Source organism: Homo sapiens, chromosome Y (genome assembly GCF_000001405.40).
Source record: "Homo sapiens chromosome Y, GRCh38.p14 Primary Assembly".
NCBI lineage: Eukaryota > Metazoa > Chordata > Mammalia > Primates > Hominidae > Homo > Homo sapiens.
In genome coordinates, this window is record NC_000024.10 from 24,177,283 (window position 1) to 24,194,989 (window position 17,707).

The 17,707-nt window shown below is 56.0% G+C and overlaps 3 pseudogenes; all 3 read right to left on the reverse strand.

The window, feature by feature from the left end:
- On the reverse strand, positions 261-5,350 carry DNM1P24 (dynamin 1 pseudogene 24; annotated as a pseudogene).
- CSPG4P2Y (CSPG4 pseudogene 2 Y-linked) lies at positions 6,151-9,948 on the reverse strand (annotated as a pseudogene).
- On the reverse strand, positions 9,226-14,593 carry CSPG4P3Y (CSPG4 pseudogene 3 Y-linked; annotated as a pseudogene).

The window sequence follows — 17,707 nt, forward strand, 5'->3', positions numbered from 1 at the left end:
GGGTATGCTTGGCATGAGATAATCGGTTTTTATTCTTACAAAATTGTAACTATGTAAGTGTGTTTATTAAAAGAACACAAACTAAAAAAGTGACAGGAATTTAAAAAAGTTGTGGGATGAAAAAGTTACGGGATAAAAAATACTGTGGACAAGTTGTGGCAAAAAAATTGTGGAAAAAAAGTAAAAAAAGTTTTATGAAATTTTTTTTCAAAACATCCTGAAAAAGAAGTTACAGGACTTAAAAAAACATCATGGGATAAAAATAAAAATAAATAAAAGAAGGCCCCTGTCAGCATACGCCTGGAGAAGTGGGTCTGGATTCTTCACCCCTACCATGTCCCTACAACCCCTTCCCTGTCACTCCTTTACCATTAGGGTAGCAAGACAAGACCCCTGTCTAATGGAGGGAGACAAAGAGACCCTTTACCACCTTGACCAAGCCTGAGTCCTTACATTTCTGGATGATGATGTTTGTTATGTAAGAGCCAGAGGTTGGTGGAGTTGGTTTGTTTGGAGGAGGTCTGATGGCCTCCTTACTCTCACCAAAGCAACTTTTCCCTCAGGGGGGCTCCCATCTTCTTACTCAGAGAGGCAGCTGAGGCGGGACAGTGGAGATAACTGTAGATGAGGTGAGGGCACAGGCTGCTGGGGGTGGCCCCCCTTCCCCCGTGTACATACTGTATCTGTGTAACATTCTGTATCGTACCTACCGGAGGTTGCAGCTGGCATATGAGGAAGAGGTTCTTATAATTGTTCACGGCTGGGAAACTTATTTATTGCTAGCATAGGAGCAAGGAAGGAGGCGGGGATGGGGTCATGGCTCCCTGGTGATGGTACTCGGTTTTTTTTTTTTTTTTTTTTGCTTTTGATTTTGGAATAAATGGATTTAGCCATACTGCTCGGCCTGGTATGTTCCTGTTTCCCTCACTGGGTCCTGCAGTTTGTCCCACTGAATGAGGAGCCCCAGAGTGTCTCAGAATGTCCAGCTGGGCTGTTGGGGACCTTCCAGGCCTGTTACCTGTATGCTGCCTGGTGACACCTGGTGGATTTCATGGGGACTGCCATGTCACCTACGGAGTACAGTCTGGCCCTGACAGCCAACTGGTTGAGAAGCCTGATGTAGCTGTGGCAGGGAAGGCAGATACCTGCGCCCAAGGGCACTGACTTCCATCCACCCTAAGTGTCTTCCGTTCTGTCCCCCTGCCTCCCTCTCCTGTCTGCACCAGGTGGCCTGTCTGTCCCTCCAGAGTGCCGGCTGCCCCGCAGGTTCCCTCCAGGCTGAGTTCAGGGCCCTGTCCCCTAGTGGCCAGAGCTGGCTTCACAGGGTGAGATCCAGCTAAGCTCCAGGGACTTTCCAGGAAAAGTGTCCCTTGAAAAGGGTGTGACCTTTTCACTGCTCCCAACAACACCTTAAAAATGGCTTGGCTTTTTCCGTCCCCTGAGGTCCATAGAGAACACAGCCAGCAGAGGACACATTCTCTGTCATCCAGAAATGGGTTTCTCAGCCAAGGGACAGCAGGACTGGTAGAGGCTGTCAGGCCACACAGCTGCCTGCACAGCACCGCCATGCTTGGCCAGAAGGGTGGGAGGGATGGCGGGGGCTAGCTGTCCGCAGGCCACGCATGTCCCGGAAGCTCAATGGAGGTGGTGCACGTTGGAGGGGCGATGTCAGGAGACAGCTTCCTCTTGCTGGTCCACAAGACTCCGCAAGCACAGCACGGGGACTGATTCCCAGTGCTAGAGCTGAGGCAGTTGGCCACGTATATATATGTATATATGTGTGTGTGTGTGTGTGTGTGTGTGTGAGAGAGAGAGAATTTATAGCTATTTATAGAACTGGGCAGGGGCATACCACAGAGGGGGCACAAGTTTTCAGCAATGGTCACACCTGGATGTGTCAGCTCACCACTACAACAGACTAAGTCACAGATGAAGGGGGCTGGCTTTGGGGCTGGGGGAGCCACTGTCAAGTCACAGGACACCCACCCAGGCAGGCTTGGAAAGGGAGGTCTCTGAGAAGAGGAGGAATCTGTTTAGAGGTCGAAGTGGGGCCTGGGGCTCTCAGGATGGGATGGACTTGCCTGACCCGATCAGCTGGTAGTTGGAGAGAAAGCAGAGAGAAAACGGGTTAGAGAAAAGTCAGAGCTGGTGAGGCGAGTGCAGAGTATGGGTGCGCTGCAGAAGCTGTGGGAGGGCCGGGGAGGGGAGGGCGTAGCTGTGGGCATGGCAAGGTTCCTGGAAAAGAGGGGCTAGAAAGGAAAGGGGAGGAAGATGGAGGGAGAAGCCAGAGCTTCATAGGTAGTGCCTGGGGACTGCGGCGGCCCTCCCCACCCCACACACGCTGGCGTCTCTCATGGCACCCAGGCAATCCACCCATCCACCCACAGTTCAGACCAATGCCAGCCCCCTCGGGCTTCCCTCTTCTGTGGTCCCCATGTCTTCCAACCCACTGGCCCAGGGCCACCTCTTGCTTGGAGAGCCCCATCCAACAGCCACCAAGCCTGATAGAGAAGGAACACTGAACCAAAATGGTGGATCTATAAGGGACGGCTGGCTGGAGTGAATGCCAGAGGCCCCTCTGAGCCATCAGAAAGCCCAGGGTCCTCTGAGGGAACCTGGGGAAGGCAGGGAGGGCAGGTAGTTGGATGCCATTGGCCATAGACTTCTAAGTCTAATGGGAGCCTCAACTGGTCAGCGGGGGGCTGCAGGTTACATAGGTGTGGCTGGGCCCTTCCTGCTGGGAAAAGCAGAGGAGGGAGACTCCGTTGCAGGAAAGGGAAGTGAGCTCTCTAGGTGGAGCTCAGCTGGGCCAGCATGCACTGGGGTCCCCTTGGCTGAATAGCACTGGCGAACCCTAGAAGCAACAGGCCAAGGTGCATGAGCCTGCTGGCCAGCAGTAGTGCTTCAGCAGGGGCCAGGGACCCTGCCTTCAGTCACATGCTAGCAGCTATCATGGTACCTGGGAGGGAGGGAAGGGGGCTGTGTGTCCTTCCATGGCCTATGAAGTGTGTTGTGGGATGACCATGTGTATAGGACTCTCAGGCTTTTATCCTAGATCACCACTGGATTGCTGACAGATAGAGGATGTGGGACCCTGACTACCACCCCTAATCTGCAGTGGATTTGGCTCTCAGCACTCCCAGGCTGGGAGCTGGATCCCTGCCCTGGCAGCATGACTCAGACCACACGAAAGGTACGGCGTGCCCAGTATGATGTTCCCAGGTCTCTGGCCGCCTGAGTCCAGCCCCTCACACAACCCCCTCGAAGCTCCCAGCCCCTACACCATAAACCATGAGCTCTGTGCCCTCTCTGATGGTTCCATGTCTGCCAGGTTGGGCATGGAGCCCCCAGGCTCAGCCATGGAGACCTTGAGAAGTGGCACTGAGTCCCATGGCTCACAAGGAGGGAAGTGAGACAGCCAGCAGCACAAGGACAGAAAAAGGAAGGAGCAAGTCTGCAGCTCCAGAAGGAAGGGGCAGGCCTGGGGGTGGGGGACACACACGCACACACCGGAGTGTGCACACACATGCTGTGAGGCCCCACGGCCCGCATGCACACGCTAACACACATGCCCACAAACAACACGCATACGTCGCCCTCCCCACCACCTCCCGGTGCCCAGCACCCTCACCGGCCGGCACGTGCTGCATGGATCTGGGGCGTGCAGCCACTCGGCACACTGAAGTACATGCGTGGGCAGAGTCACAACACAGATGCTCACCCGCACACAGAGGCATGTGCACCAGCTCCCTGCACACTCGTGCCTGGCGTGCTCAGAGGACCACCCATGCTGCTCAGGGAGACAGGGCTTGCTCACTAATGTCCGGCTGTCATTTCTCCACCTAAGAGCCTTCCATGGCTCCCTACTGCCTACAGCATTGAATCCCAAAAAGTCATACTCTTTGGACTTTGAAGGTTCTCCACCCGGTGCCCCACCCTCCCCACAGAGCTCTTCCTCATTCTGTCTCTGTTCCCTGCTTTGGCCAGTGGCTATCCTCAATGTGACCCACACTACACTTCTGCCCACACTGCAGCTCTTTACCCAGTTACCCTCCAGTTCCTCACAACGTATGCCTATCTCAGTCATGCCCCGGACTGCATTGAAGCCAGGCTGCCTTGAAGAAACTCTCCCAGACTGCCCTTTTCCCCAAGGCAGGGTCATGATTTGCCAAAGGTTTCGTGTGTGTTAGCAAGACTGGAGTCGGAGCAGGCATCAAACTTTGCATCCCATATGTCACACCTCACCATAGACCTGGGTGCCAAATAGCCTGAAGAGTCTGAACTCATGTTGGCAGTTAGCAAAGTGCTCCTATGGCCACATCTGCAGTTAACATAGTATCCCTATGGCCACTGTCTCCCTTGATCCCCACAGCCATCCTAGGAGAAAAGCAGAACGTCATCATTTCATAGAAGGGATGCTGAGGCTCTGGGAGGGAAAGGGACTTGCTTAAAGCCCCAGGGTGAAGCAGCATCTCTGGACTCCCAGTCCAGTGATCTTGCCCAATACTATGCTGCTTCCCTCTACCCATCTAATTTGGTCATCAGCACGTCATAGGGCAAGCCCCAATCCCTGCTTCATTTTTGTATATGGGCGCTGGACCTACAGCCCCACTGTCCAGCCATTTGGAAACAAAAACAGATGCTATTGTTCTTCCTTAGAGAACGTGGCCAGTAGAAACAGGGCACACTGGAAATCAGAGTGAATGTTCTTGAAAGAGGGTCATGGGTCAACCAGGCCAAGCCAAAGGATGCGGTAGAACCATTTTCCTTAGAAATCTTTGGGAGTGAAGTAGTCTTCAGCCACTCTCATCCCTGCCCTTGCAGCTACCACTACCCCATTAGTTTAGACAGGGTTAGGGATAGAGGGTGAGTGGTCCAGGTGTGGAGAAAAAATCAGATTGCCTGTGGCCCCCAGGCTCCTTCCCCAGCTGCTTCTGTCCTAGCTGAGGCCTGGGTGCCATTCTTACACTCTCACAGTCGTGTGCTTGCACCTGCACACATCACACACCTTGCTGGTCACACAGTCACAGCCTGGCCTCTACTCCTGTGGTCCAGTGGCTGGACACCCCCTGAGATGGCTCAAAGGAGTCAGGACTTGGAAGTGGGGACATCCGGGTAGCTGAAGGAAATCCACACACCCAGACTCTCAGACCTGAGGTAGGCTCCCCAGGGGCTGGGATAGGAGTTGGACAGAATGGAGGATGGAGGACAGTGAGAAGAAGAAAGGAAGAGAAATGCAAAGTGTGGCAGCCGCCAAGAGTGAAAACCCACCAAGATGGAAGTGCCATGCACATACTGGACAGAAGGGGGCAGGTGGGACAAGCCCCACAGCCCCCTCAAAAACGACCACTTCCAGGAGTCAGTGCTCCCTGGGGGGCAGGCTCCGCCAGCCCTTGGCCACACGTGGCTCTGGCACCCATGGTCCCAGTGCCTTGGATGGAGGCGGCCAGGTCTGATGCTCTGGAATCCAGTCCCATTTCCATCCCGGCCACGCCCATCCGGCAGCCTCTTTGGTCGCATTCAGCCCCTACTCACCTGGAGACCCCGGGTGGGGCATGAGTGCACCTGGTGGGGTAGGGGCCGAAGGGATCAGGGGAAGCCTCTAGCCTGGAGGGTACAGGGCACGCTTCCCCAAGGGTGGACCTGGCAAGAGGAAGCCCAAGAGCTGGGCCCGCCACCCAGGCCGGGCTAGGGACATGGCAGGGTCTGGGCATCCTGGGGCTGGACTTGGGTGACCTGCAAGGCACAGGGAGGGGAGAGATGGGCGGCTCTGCCCCCCTGAGGCCCCGCCCCAGCCCCGGCCACCCCCAGAGACAGTCGCCGGAGCTTAAGCCCCGCCCCCAGTGGTGAGAACATCCCAGCTCCACCCCTTACTCCAGGTGGGAACCACCCCATGAGGGAGCGTGCCACTAAGCCCTGGGCACTCCTCTGTGTGGCCCGGATGGGGGACTTTGGGGCTATGGGGGCCAGTCCCTGGTACCTGTGTTCCTCAGGGACACTCTGCACCTGCAGCCAGGTGTCATCCACAGGCGGGGGCATGGGCATGCTGACGGTGGTCCTGTTGATGTCACCTGTTGATGTCATTTGCCTCCTTCAGCGCGTGGTGCATGCACAGCATCTTGTCGCGCTGCTGTGCCTGCTTTGCCAACTCCTCCATCAGTGTGTTCTGGTCCCCACATGAGTACAGATTGGCCAGCGGCTCCGAGATGATGAACTCCGTGGTCTGAGAGTGGACAAACAGGGAAGAAGGTTGGGACCTGCTGCCTGTGCCACCCTGGCTGCCTTGCTGGGCCCTGCTGGGACTGTGTGCTGGACTTGGAGCCCCTTGGAGTATGGCTTTTTACACGGGCTTCTATACCGCTTCAACTGGAAGATCCCCCTCCCCACCGCCTTTTCTCACTCAGATGGGGACACTGAGGTCGAGAGGAAAAGACACCTGTCCAATGTCACAGATCTGGGAGGGGACTTAGGACCTATCATGCCAAGAAGACACCTGTCTACTCAGTTTTCTTTTTGGCAGGGCAGGGGGCAGTGATAGGGTCTCGCTCTGTCACCAGGATGGAGTACAGTGATCACTGCTCACTGCAGCCTCCACCTCCTGGGCTCAAAGCAATCCTCCAACATCAGCCTCTCACGTAGCTAGGACTACAGGCACGTGCCACCACCAAGCCCAGCTATTTGTAAAATTTTTGTGTGGAGACAAGGTCTCACTATGTTGCCCAGGCTGGTCTCGAACTCCTGGGCTCAAGTGATCCTCCCGTCTCGGCCTCCAGGAGTGGGAGTGAGACAAAACACAGGGTCCTGAGCTCTGGGGAGCAAGCAGTGTCCTCTGGTGACAGAAATCCTGGACTTGCCAGCAGAAGTTTTGCCTCTTACTCGCCATGTGCTCTGAATACAGTTACCTGCCCTCCAGGAGCTTCAGTTTTCTTACCTGAAAAAGGACACCTGACCCCTTCCCAGCCCAGTTCAGTGTTGTGGGACAGGGCTGCTGTCAAGACAATACCCAGTCCTGCCCTCCTCCTCCCTGAGTGGGCCAGGTAGCCCATGTAGCCTCTTCCCGGCTTTCCTGGGTGGCACTGCCAGCCTGGACCCCTGGTGACCATTCAATCTAGTCCATCTTGCTGGGGCATGGGGAAGCTCTGAGTAACGTGGGACTATAGAGTGCAAGAGGGTTGCTGATGGTCTGGTCCCATGCCCTCCTCATTCCTGGGCATTCTTGACAAAGGATCCCAGCAACTGAGGGTATGCAGCAGCTGTAGACACCAGCCTGATGAATATCTCATTGTGGGGAGGGTGCCATAGCAGGAGTGGAGCTCTGGGGAAATAAAGAACCCAGGTCTGGGAGGTACTGATGTGAGAGGCCCAAGAAACCTTGGCTTTGCACTTGCTGAGTACCATCTGCACCTCTCAGGAGGGAGACTGCCAGGCTCAGGAGGTCCTTGCCCAAGCAAGGGAGCTTGAAAAGGGGGCTAGGTGTGGGCTCTGCCATTTTCAAGGGCTGGCAGTGGGACCCCTCTGGAGGTACTTGAGGCAGTGCTGCGTGCCGTGGCTCCTGAATGACAGAGTCAGCTCTGCGCCCCACAAGACCACTCCCTACCCAGAACTCACTGTGATCATGTGCTGGGTCCAGATGCTCACGCAGTCTCCTGGTGGGAGCATCAGGTGTGCTGCCTGCCCAGGACGGCCCACAAAGAGTCTGCCCTGCTCTGCCCTGCTATGGAACAACTCCCGTTCTGCCTTTGGGGAGAGGTGTTCATTTAAACAATGACTGGGCTGGTCCCCATGGCACAATTACCACACAGAGTCTGCCACTACCCATGGCTGAGAGCTCTAGTTCTTCCCTGAAGCCACCAGGACAGATGAACAGTGGCTTCCCCCTTTTGGCTGACTCAGCTGCCTTTCATCAGCTCATCTGCTCCTAGGATCCACTCTGCCTCTGGCTGGCACCTGATCTGAGCCCCAGGCTCACACCTCTGCCCACAGGCCCCAGCAGCTGCTTCACCTCTGACTCCATCCCCCACCAAGCACTGCCCCTCACCAGCTACTGGGGTGCCACTAGTGCCCCTACATGGTGCTCCCTCTCTAGACCCTTGGGTCCAGCTGTAGCTTCCTTCTGGAAGCCACACCCCAAGACCCCAGCCCTGCTCTAGGGACCTGTATCCCCAACTTCCTGCATCCTTCTCCCTCCTTCTGGGAACATGAACTTGCCCCACCAGCCTGATGACTCCTGGAGGGCAGGACACCAGGGCCCTGGACCATGGCAGGCCCGGGAGTGTCTGCTGACAGTGATGCTGGAGCTGGTGCCCATGTCCACATGATGTCCATAGCACAGTGGCCACCTGAGGCTGGGCGCATCTGAGTGGTGACTGCAGAGTGGGGCCCTTACCTCTCCCTGAGTGAAGTTCACCAGGTCCTCCCCTGTGAACTGCCCCCAAACTCACATTCCTGTTCTGTGCCTTTGCCAGGAATGTTCCTTTTGCCTGGAATACCACTCCCCATTCCCTGCTCCAGATGGCCTGTGCTCTTCAGAGCCCAGCCCAAACACTGCCTCCTCCCATGAGACCTTCCTGATGCCAGATCTGCTGGCTCACCGTGGGCCCCACGCTCAGATGCAGACCAGAAGGGTCTCCGAAATGAGCAGTGTGGGAGAGTAAGGCTGAGAGTGGGCAAGGACTGGCCTGAGGTCACAGGGCATGTCAGTGAGATCTCTGGAAGGCCTGTGGCTGGTCTGTGGGGTTCTGTGGGGTTCCTGGATGAGCAGAAGCCCTTGACAGACCCTCCTAGTCCTGGTCTGGGCTCTGAGAAAAAAGCAGGGTACACAGGGGTCTGAGGGGCAGTGGCCTGTCTCCACGGCCAGCAATCCCAAAAGTTCAGGACCCGTGATGCCTTCCCAGGGAACTGACTGCAATGCAGATTCTCGGGCTCCACTTCAGAGATTCTGTAGGGCTGGGTGGGGTCCAGGAATCTGCATGCTCAGCCATGCCATGGACATGAGTGGGCACCACCTCTAGAGGCACACACAACTCCCCGGAGGATGGGTGTACAGCAAGCTCCCCAGAAACTCTTGGGAACACAACATATATGGGAGCACATCTGAGGCACGTGCACACACGCAACCTGGGACCACCACAGGCACAGCCCAAGTCACATGTGTTCCCGGCAGGGAGGCTGGGAGGAAGGCCCTCTACCTGGTCCACACCCCCACTCACCACCCCCAGCTCCTCACCTCCAGCTGGTCCCTTCTGATCTCAGCTGCCTCTCCCAGGAAGATGTAGATCTTCTTGTGCCAGGCCAGCTTCAGTGGGGCTAGTGGGCCCTCTAGGGCAATGGTCACTTGTAGAGTGCACCGTGTGCACTGTCTGTGTGCACTGGCCCCACATCCATTGAGAAGGCCCCACATCCATTGAGAAGGCCCCACATCCATTGAGAAGGCCAGGGTGTTGCGGGAGCTGAGGCTGCCATTGTGGCCAAAGAGAACGGCCCCAACCAGCAGGTCCTTCTGGGCGAAGGCTGTGCTGGCTGAGTGGCCTGGAGCAACTGTCCCCAGCAAGGGCTGTCTGTGATGTGGTAGTGGACCTCATCCCCACTGCGGATGTCGAGGTTGGTGCCCAGGTGGAGCTCGGCCATATTGATGGTACCCTGGTCTCCTTGAGGGACCTTGAGGCCGGAGCCATTGGCCACATAGAGGTAAGGCTCCAAGGCCTGCACCTCCAGCACCAAGATGGCCTGGTGCTGCCTGTCGGACACATGCAGCAGGATCCAGCCATGGTCAGCCTGAGTGCGTGAACAGGACTCGCCTCTTCCTGAGGCCCCTCCTGGATGAAGCAGAAGATGGGCTGCATGGGCTCATCCGTGGCCATGATACTGCCAGACAGGAGGTCCTTGTGGGTCAGCACCAGCTGGGCATCCACAAAGCCTGAATCAGCATTGCTGAAGGCCATGTTGTGTGGAGTCAGCAGCTGCCACCTACCCCAGGCCACATGGAAGACGCAGCTGATGCTCTGCACAGGGGCGTGGTCATTCACAGTCTGGATGGCCACTCAGAAGACACCCCGTACCTCCTCCCAGGCCACATCACCACTGCTCTGGTCCTGGTGGCAGCAGCAAATGGCATATCATCTTCCGTGATCTTGGAGTCATCATGCTGCTAGACCGGCTGGCCATGCAACAGATCTCCATTGGTGAAGGAAGTCACCATAGTGGTCTTGTCCTGTGCCCCACACCAAGTCAACCTCCCATGGCGGGGCCACTACATGGCCTCATAGAGGTACCTGGCACTGTTGAGGCTCTTGACGAAGAGCTGGTCAGCAGAGAGGACACACCCACCACCCTCGGGCACCAAGAGGACATTGGTGAGGACAGGCATGTCTGGGTCACCGCCAGTATGGATGGAGAAAGTACAGAGTGGGGAGAAATATAGTGGAGCTGTGACATGGAAACAGAAGGTGTCCTCCACTGCCACTGAGGCATGTGCCATGGCCCTATAGGTCACCTCTCCAGCCTGTACATCATCCTGGGTGAAGCCCTGACCATCTGACAGTGTCGTGCCCTGTAGTTGAAGGTTGCCTTTCCTGGGAGCCTGAACCACCTCAGAGTGGAAGGTTGGGGGGCTTGGGCCTGCCTCTTCCAGGGTGGCCTCCAGGTGGGCTGTGGTGAGGGCCTCTGCTGGGTGTTGAGTGTGCAGTGGCCGCAGCTGCAGCATCCACACAGTGGCTCTCTGGATGGTCACTAGGAAGGACAGATTGCTCAGGATTTCCCAGCTCACCTGCACCTGCAGATCCAGGTTCTTCACGGTGTCCTCGGCATAGTGCTGTGGGTTAGTGCTCAGGTACCTCATGTGGCCCTGCTCCACATCCTGCTGGTGGAATGACTGTGTGGCCCACCACTCAGCACCCTCCACCCCACCAGCCCCCTGCTTCTGCACCTCCCTGAACTGCAGGCCTCTGGTGACACAGAACAACACAGTCACATCCTGCCCCACGGTGCTGGTCTCCACCGACAGGTTGGTAGGCAAGATGGGCATGGCAGAGTCCTGGGCCAGATGCAGCCCTGTGCTGCAGTGGATCTGTATGGCCGGCTGGATGGCCACCACCTTCAGCATGGACGGGGGGCTGGCCTGCAGTCCATTGCTGACCCGGAACGTCAAGTCCTATGCAGGGCCACTGCAGTGGACATAGACTAGGCTGTCGGCCTCCAACTCCCAGCAGGAGAACTGGGTCACCGGCTCCCCAGCCTGGTCTCAGTGCTCCACAGGGAGGCCAGAGGAGGTGCCAAGGAGCTGGAAGGTGAGGCCCTCACAGGCAGAGTCCAGGTCATAGGCCTGGAAAACCTCAGGCCCCAGAGGCTTCTGTGTGTGTTCCAGGATCACCATAAGGCTGCCACATGGGAAGATGATACGGGGTGGGTCATTGACAGGGTTGACCTGGATGGGCAGGAGGTCAGTTTGGCCCCTCCGCAGGCATGAAGGCATGGGCACCCAAGCCATCACCAACACCTCCAGCACCAGGGCCATCATGGATGAAGCAGACCTTGCAGTTCACCATGTCCAGGAGGGTGAACATTTCTCATGCCTGGGCACCCAGGATGTCCAGCTCGAGTTCACTGTAGTGTGCCCCTCAGGTCACGCTGAACAGCACCTGGGATTTATGCAGTTCAGCCTCCATCAGGGCCAGCATGGGCTGCACATGCCACCACTCGGCTGTGCCACCCTCGGTCACCACCACTGGGCTGATAGTCAGCAGCTGGGTGAAATTGGTAAAGACAGGAGGCAGCCCTGGCTCAAGCATGCATGGCTCAGCTAGATCCATGGACAGCCAAGCCCTGGGGGCCAGGGTGGAGAAAGCTTCATAATGGCCATAGGTATTGTCCTCATACTCCTCCACCTCCTCCAGTCTGCAGCCTGCCGCCATGTTGTGTGTCAGCAAGGCTTCCCGAAGCCCCCACCTCTGGCCATTGACACTGAGGTCTTCCATACAGCCAGCCCAGCAGGGAGGCATTGGCGGCCCCTGGTGTCAGGCCTCAGTGGTGTTCCTGGAGGGGATGAGAGGCCTCTGCAACCAGCTCCCCAAGAAGGAGACTGTCACATGGCTCCAGGCAGCTGAGGACTCCTCGGTTCAAAGTACGTGTGGGGTACTGGTCCATGGAGATTTCTAGCTGGTGAGTGTTGATGTGGATGCTGACCTTGAGGGTCTGCACGTCAGCCACAAGCACACTGTTGAGGAGCAATACAGTACCCTGGCCCTTCTCGACCATGAACCACAGGTGGCCCTCAAATATGTCCACATGGATGAAGTCCCCATGCCAGCCCGCTGCCTGGAAGGTCAAGGGTGCCTGCCAGATCTGTGTGGTGAGTGCCAACTCCAGGGTTCCTTTGTTCTGAGTGCCCCAGGCAGGGAAGGCAGCCAGAGAGTGGGGCCCAGAGAAGCCCAGGGCCACATCGTCACTGGTGGAAAACTCTTCAGCACAGCCCTCATGCATATCGGGGGTCAGAGGCCGGAGGAGGCTGTGGCCATTGAGAGTGGCTGCATGGAGGCAACCCCTCAGGGGATGGCTGGTTCCCCTCAGGTAGGGCAGGCCAAGGCTCCCAGTGTTCCCAACAAAGAGCCCATAGGGGACCTCTAGGGGGGCTCCCAGGACTACAGAGGAGGCATTCAGAAACCCATTGACTGACAATGTGGGCCAGCCCTCTGAGACAGTCAGAACTGTAGTGTAGGGGATGGAGTCACTCAGCAGCATTTCTGCTGGGATCTGCAGCCTCAGCTCCTCCTGGCCCAGGACAACCCTGACCTGAGGAGAGACAGGGAATGGGAGATGGGGGGCAGCACTTTGAATCCATCATTTCCCTTATAAAAGCACAGTGGGTTCCCCACAGTTGGGTCCCCAGAGCAGAAAACCTAGGACAAGGGCCTCTGGTGCCACTCCTCTTGCCTTCCTGCCATCTCTTTATTCATCCTCCAAACACTCACCAAAGGAAACTCTGGGCCAGGCCTGGATGGGCTCTGGGGACCCTGATGTGAATCAGATGTGGTCCTTGCCCACAATGAACTGACATATAGCAAGATGCTCTTCTAGAAACCCAACCTGTATTTTTAAATTCTCCTCCTCTTTCCTTGAGAGAGAAGCACCAGAAATATTGTCTTGGAATCTAGATTTCACCCCTGGAATAATGGGTAACTGAGAATCCCTTGATCAGTCCCCCTAAGTTTGGCAAAGTTTCTTGAGGTCACTGAAGGAAGCCAGGCTAACTGTTCAGGGATAGGGAACCCAGGCAGATGCTCTGTGTTCTGAAAAAAAAGCTCCCTGTCCTGTGGGGGAGGAAGATCTCAAGGAGAGATGAAGGACATAGTTCTGTCACCATGACATTGACACAAGAAATGGCTCTGGTGTGGTGCTCCCAGGTGCTAGAATAGGTGATGGCAGAGTACGGGAACTGCAGAACCAGAACACTAAGAACCATGATCTTGGAATCCTGGTATGGTGCATCTCTGTAGGGATGTGGCACCACTGTACCCACAGAGCTCAACAGCCATCAGTGCCAGACTGCACCACATAGGTGTTCAACAGTGACACTTGTGGCAGTGAGCAGCAATGACAGCAGCAGACTGACCAAGCCCTAGTCCTCTTCCCACTGGGGTGCGGAAGGAGATGGCTGCCCCAAATTTGTTAATTTTTTTTTTCTTTCTAAAATAGATATGGAGTCTCATTGTGTGGCTCAGGCCAGTCTTGAACTCCTAGGCTCAAGTGATCTTCCCACCTTGGTCTCCCAAAGTGGTGGGATTATAGGCATGAGCCACTGCACCCAGCTTGCCCCAAATTTGCACTAAGACCCTGGGTTCTTAAACTCTTTATGGTATGGGGGAAGACTCAAGAAGGAGCCACAAGACTCCTTGATAATAAAGCTTGTGGTGTCTTGAAGGATGAAATGGAAAAATGAAGCTGAGGCAGTACTGGTGCTGTTACTGTCATGGACAGACAGTGGTGCTGCAGAGAAATTGGTGCAGTGCCACCGGGAAGCACAGGGGTCATGGGGGCCCAGGAGGGGGCCTTGCCCAGGAGGAGGGGATGCCCACACTGAAACTTCAAGGAGAGGCTAGAGTTAGGCAGGTGCAGGGAATGGGTGGGGCACACACCTGGCAGGAGGAGTGTGATGACCAAAGGACTGGCAGCAAGTGACCATAAGATGGCCAGGAACTGAAAGCAGTTCAGTGCAGTCAGAGCACAAAGGCCAGTGAGGGCTTGTGGTGGGAAACATGGTTGGAGGGAGCTGGTGAGCAGAGCCAGTTCATGAAGGATTTACCATTTCTGAGCTGCTGCTGCCCATCCCACAGTAGAGAACTTGAAACCCCAAGAAAGGTGACTTACACAAGGTCACACAGCCAGCTGGGGTTCACTCAAAGCTGGACAAGGAATCTCACCCTCACTCACCTGCAGGTGTCCAGAGTAGAGCTGCAGCAGGAGGTGGTCAGCTGGGCCTGCTGCCAGGAGAAGGAGGGCTTCGGGTTGGGACGTGGAGAACTGCAGTTGCAGGTCTATGTCAGTCAGAGCCATGGCCACAGTCACCTCCAGGTGGTTCTCACCAAAGAAGGAAGCTGTGTGAGAGAGGGAGCTGTGGTCAAGGCTCAGATTCTTGCCTGGAGGAGGCGAGGTGCTGCAGGGAGGGATGGGTGGGTTGCAGAAAGGGGTCCGTGCTGGTGCACCCTCATGGTTCTGCTATATGTTGCTGTCTCTGAGCACTGCCCAGATCCCCACATTTCCTTGGTCCTGGCACCAGAAGGCACAGCCTCACCTTGTGTCCAGCCCAGACCTTGACTTTGCAGGAGGTCAGACCCAGAAATTCCCAGCAACTCAGGTCTCCTTCTTGGAGGTTCCTGGAGCCAGAGGCCTCTGCCAGTTCTGACTTGCATCCCCTGGGCCCCAGAGGAGTCTCCCTCCCAGGTCTGGCTCCCCGACCTGGCTGAAAGGGAAACATCACTGGCCTGATCACCTGGCTTGGTGGTCACAGCCCTGAGGAATGGAGTTTCTGGAGAATCACCCCCAGGCCAGATTGATCCCTGCTCAGATTCCTTCTCCTAAGTGCCCTTGTGCTTGGGCTCCTGTGCAGCAACTGCTGTGCCATGCCTCGCCTCCATGCATTGGCTGGGGCCATGGCTGGTATCTGGGGGTGATGTCAGTGTGGCCCACCTATCCCCACTTCTCCCTCAGGCCATTCTTCCAGCTGCCATTGAGGGTGGGGGCTGGAGCTTATTGGCCTGAGTTTGCCAAGGAGTAAAGGCTCTGAGGCCAGATGGGGACCATATGCAGTGTCAAACCAAAGTGGGCCCACACTTCCTCCATTACCCCTGCTGTTGCTTCCTGCTGGAGAGCTATTCACAGTCCCCACTGAGCAGTCAGATCCGGCCCCATTGTTTCCACCTTGGCCAAGGAACCAGGGATGAGAACAGCTGAGCTCCCAACTTCCCCAGGCCACCACTCAGTCTGAGGCTGAATACAGGGCCTAGGAGGGGCTGAGGGTCTGCTGGGCAGGCCAAAGATGGCCTCTCCAGGCAGAAGGCCATGTCTGGGCTTGCCTGGGGTTAGTGGTTCTTGTGCAAGGCCCGTTCTGTCCCACACTGGGACTCCTCCTCTTTTGAGTTGCTGCTTCCTCCAGGCAGTTTCCCCAAATTAGCCTCCCTGACTTCCAACCCACTGCCATAATTTCTGGTCTATGCCTTTTGTGGTGACAAGAGCCAGATATAACTTTGACTTTGCCTGCAGTTGTCCAGGGCTGGGGGGCAGACAAACACAGGTTAAAAACCGTGATTCATCCCTGTTGGGTTTCCCTCAAACCCCAAGAACAAGCACAGGCTGATGGCCTTGATGGGGTGATCCAGCACCGGCCTCACATGCACTGGTCCCTAGCCAGCCTGAGCCAGCTGCCATCTGCTCGAGGAAGTAGCTTCAGCCATTGGAGGAGTTGGAGGTCTCTATGCCCTAAGGGCAGCCAGCCCCACCTGGAGGGATATCAAGGAAAGATCCCGTAAGAGCCCCTCGGGTTGAGTTAAATCCCCTCTAGTTATCCCCTCCTCCTGCCAGCACTGCTGGCAACACCAGCACCTTGGCTGGGAAGCTAAGGGAATCAAGCAAGCCCCACAGACCATCTGTGTGGGGGTGGCCCAGCAGTCTCAGCAGGCACAGCACAGCTTGGTGCCAGCAAGAGACAGACCAGGGAACTGCAGGTGGTGACCTACTGGGGTGCCTTATCTGCAAAGACATTGATTCCTAAGAGCAAAACACAGCACACTAAAGTGAGGGAGGCCATAGCACAAGGGGTGGGGACACATGGCCCTGCAGGATGGAGCCACCACAGTCACCAGCTGGAACGGCTCACAGCAGTGGCCAGGAGCCAACTGTTGAATTTTCAGGAATTTTGAGAGCCATGTGATACTGCCCACAGTGGGAATATTTATACCAGGAAAAGAGGCAAATACTGAAAATCAGGGTTCCCTCTCCCCAAGAAAGCCCATTGCTAAACATTTACCTACCCAGCACCCACAGGGAAGGGGGCACATCTCCCTGTGCCTACCCACCTGTGTTAGTCAGGGTTCCCTAGAGGGATAGAACTAATAGGAGATATAGACAGATATAGATATAAATATAGATATATAGATATATAAAGGGGAGTTTATCAAGTATTAACTTACACAATCCCAAGGTCCCACAATAGGCTGTCTGCAAGTTTGAGGTGCAAGGAGAGACAATCTGAGTCTCAAAACTGAAGAACGTGGAGTCCGATGCTAGAGGGTAGCAAGCGTCCAGCGTGGGAGAAAGATGAAGGCTGGGAGGCTAGGCCAGTCTTGCCTTTTCATGTTTTTCTGCCTGCTTTATATTCACTAGCAACTGATTAGAAAGATGGTGCCCACCAGTATTAAGGGTGGGTCTGCCTTCCCCAGCCCACTGGCTCAAATGTTAATCTCCTTTTACAACGCCCTCACAGACACACCCAGGAGATCAATACTTTGCAGCCTTCAACCGAATCAAGTTGACACTCAGTATTAACCGTCACACCACCCTTGCACTAAAGGTATACATACACCCACTAAGGCATGGTCAACATCAGGGATCTGGGCCAGACAGGAACTGAAGCAGATGGTTGGCCCTAACCACTGAACCACCTGCCTGTGGCCCCCTCCCAGCAGAAGAGAGTAGAGGCTGTTTGGCCAGAGTGGAATGGTGGCAGGAAGCAGAGGTATTTTCTGGAGTGCTGGGGTCTGAATCAGTCCATTGAGGCTGGGCCCTCCTGCTTCCTGTAGGGCTAAGCGGGAGAAGCTCACAGAGGCTGCCTTGTGCTGCTGGAGCGCATAGCCAGGGAGGCCCCCACCCCAACAGAGGCCTCTGATGCCTTGCTGGCCAGGGCTTTGGAAACTCTGACAGCGCTGCTTCCCTCATTTCCTAATCTCCTTTTTCTGACCCTCTTACACTCTCTGAGGGGCTGCAGTTGCAGGAACCCAGAATCTCTGTCTTGGAGGTGGTGGGGCGGTGGGGGGCAGTTGAAGAGGGGCTTTGAATGGAGAGGGTCTGCACAATAAAGATGTAATAAGCTAGGAGTCAATCCAGAGGACTTCCTGGAGGAGGTGATGGTGGTGTAGAGTCACAGAGAGGGAGGAATAGGCAGTCTCAGAGGACAGCAGCAAGGCCAAGTGAGAGACTGGCAGAGTTATACAGGTCCCCG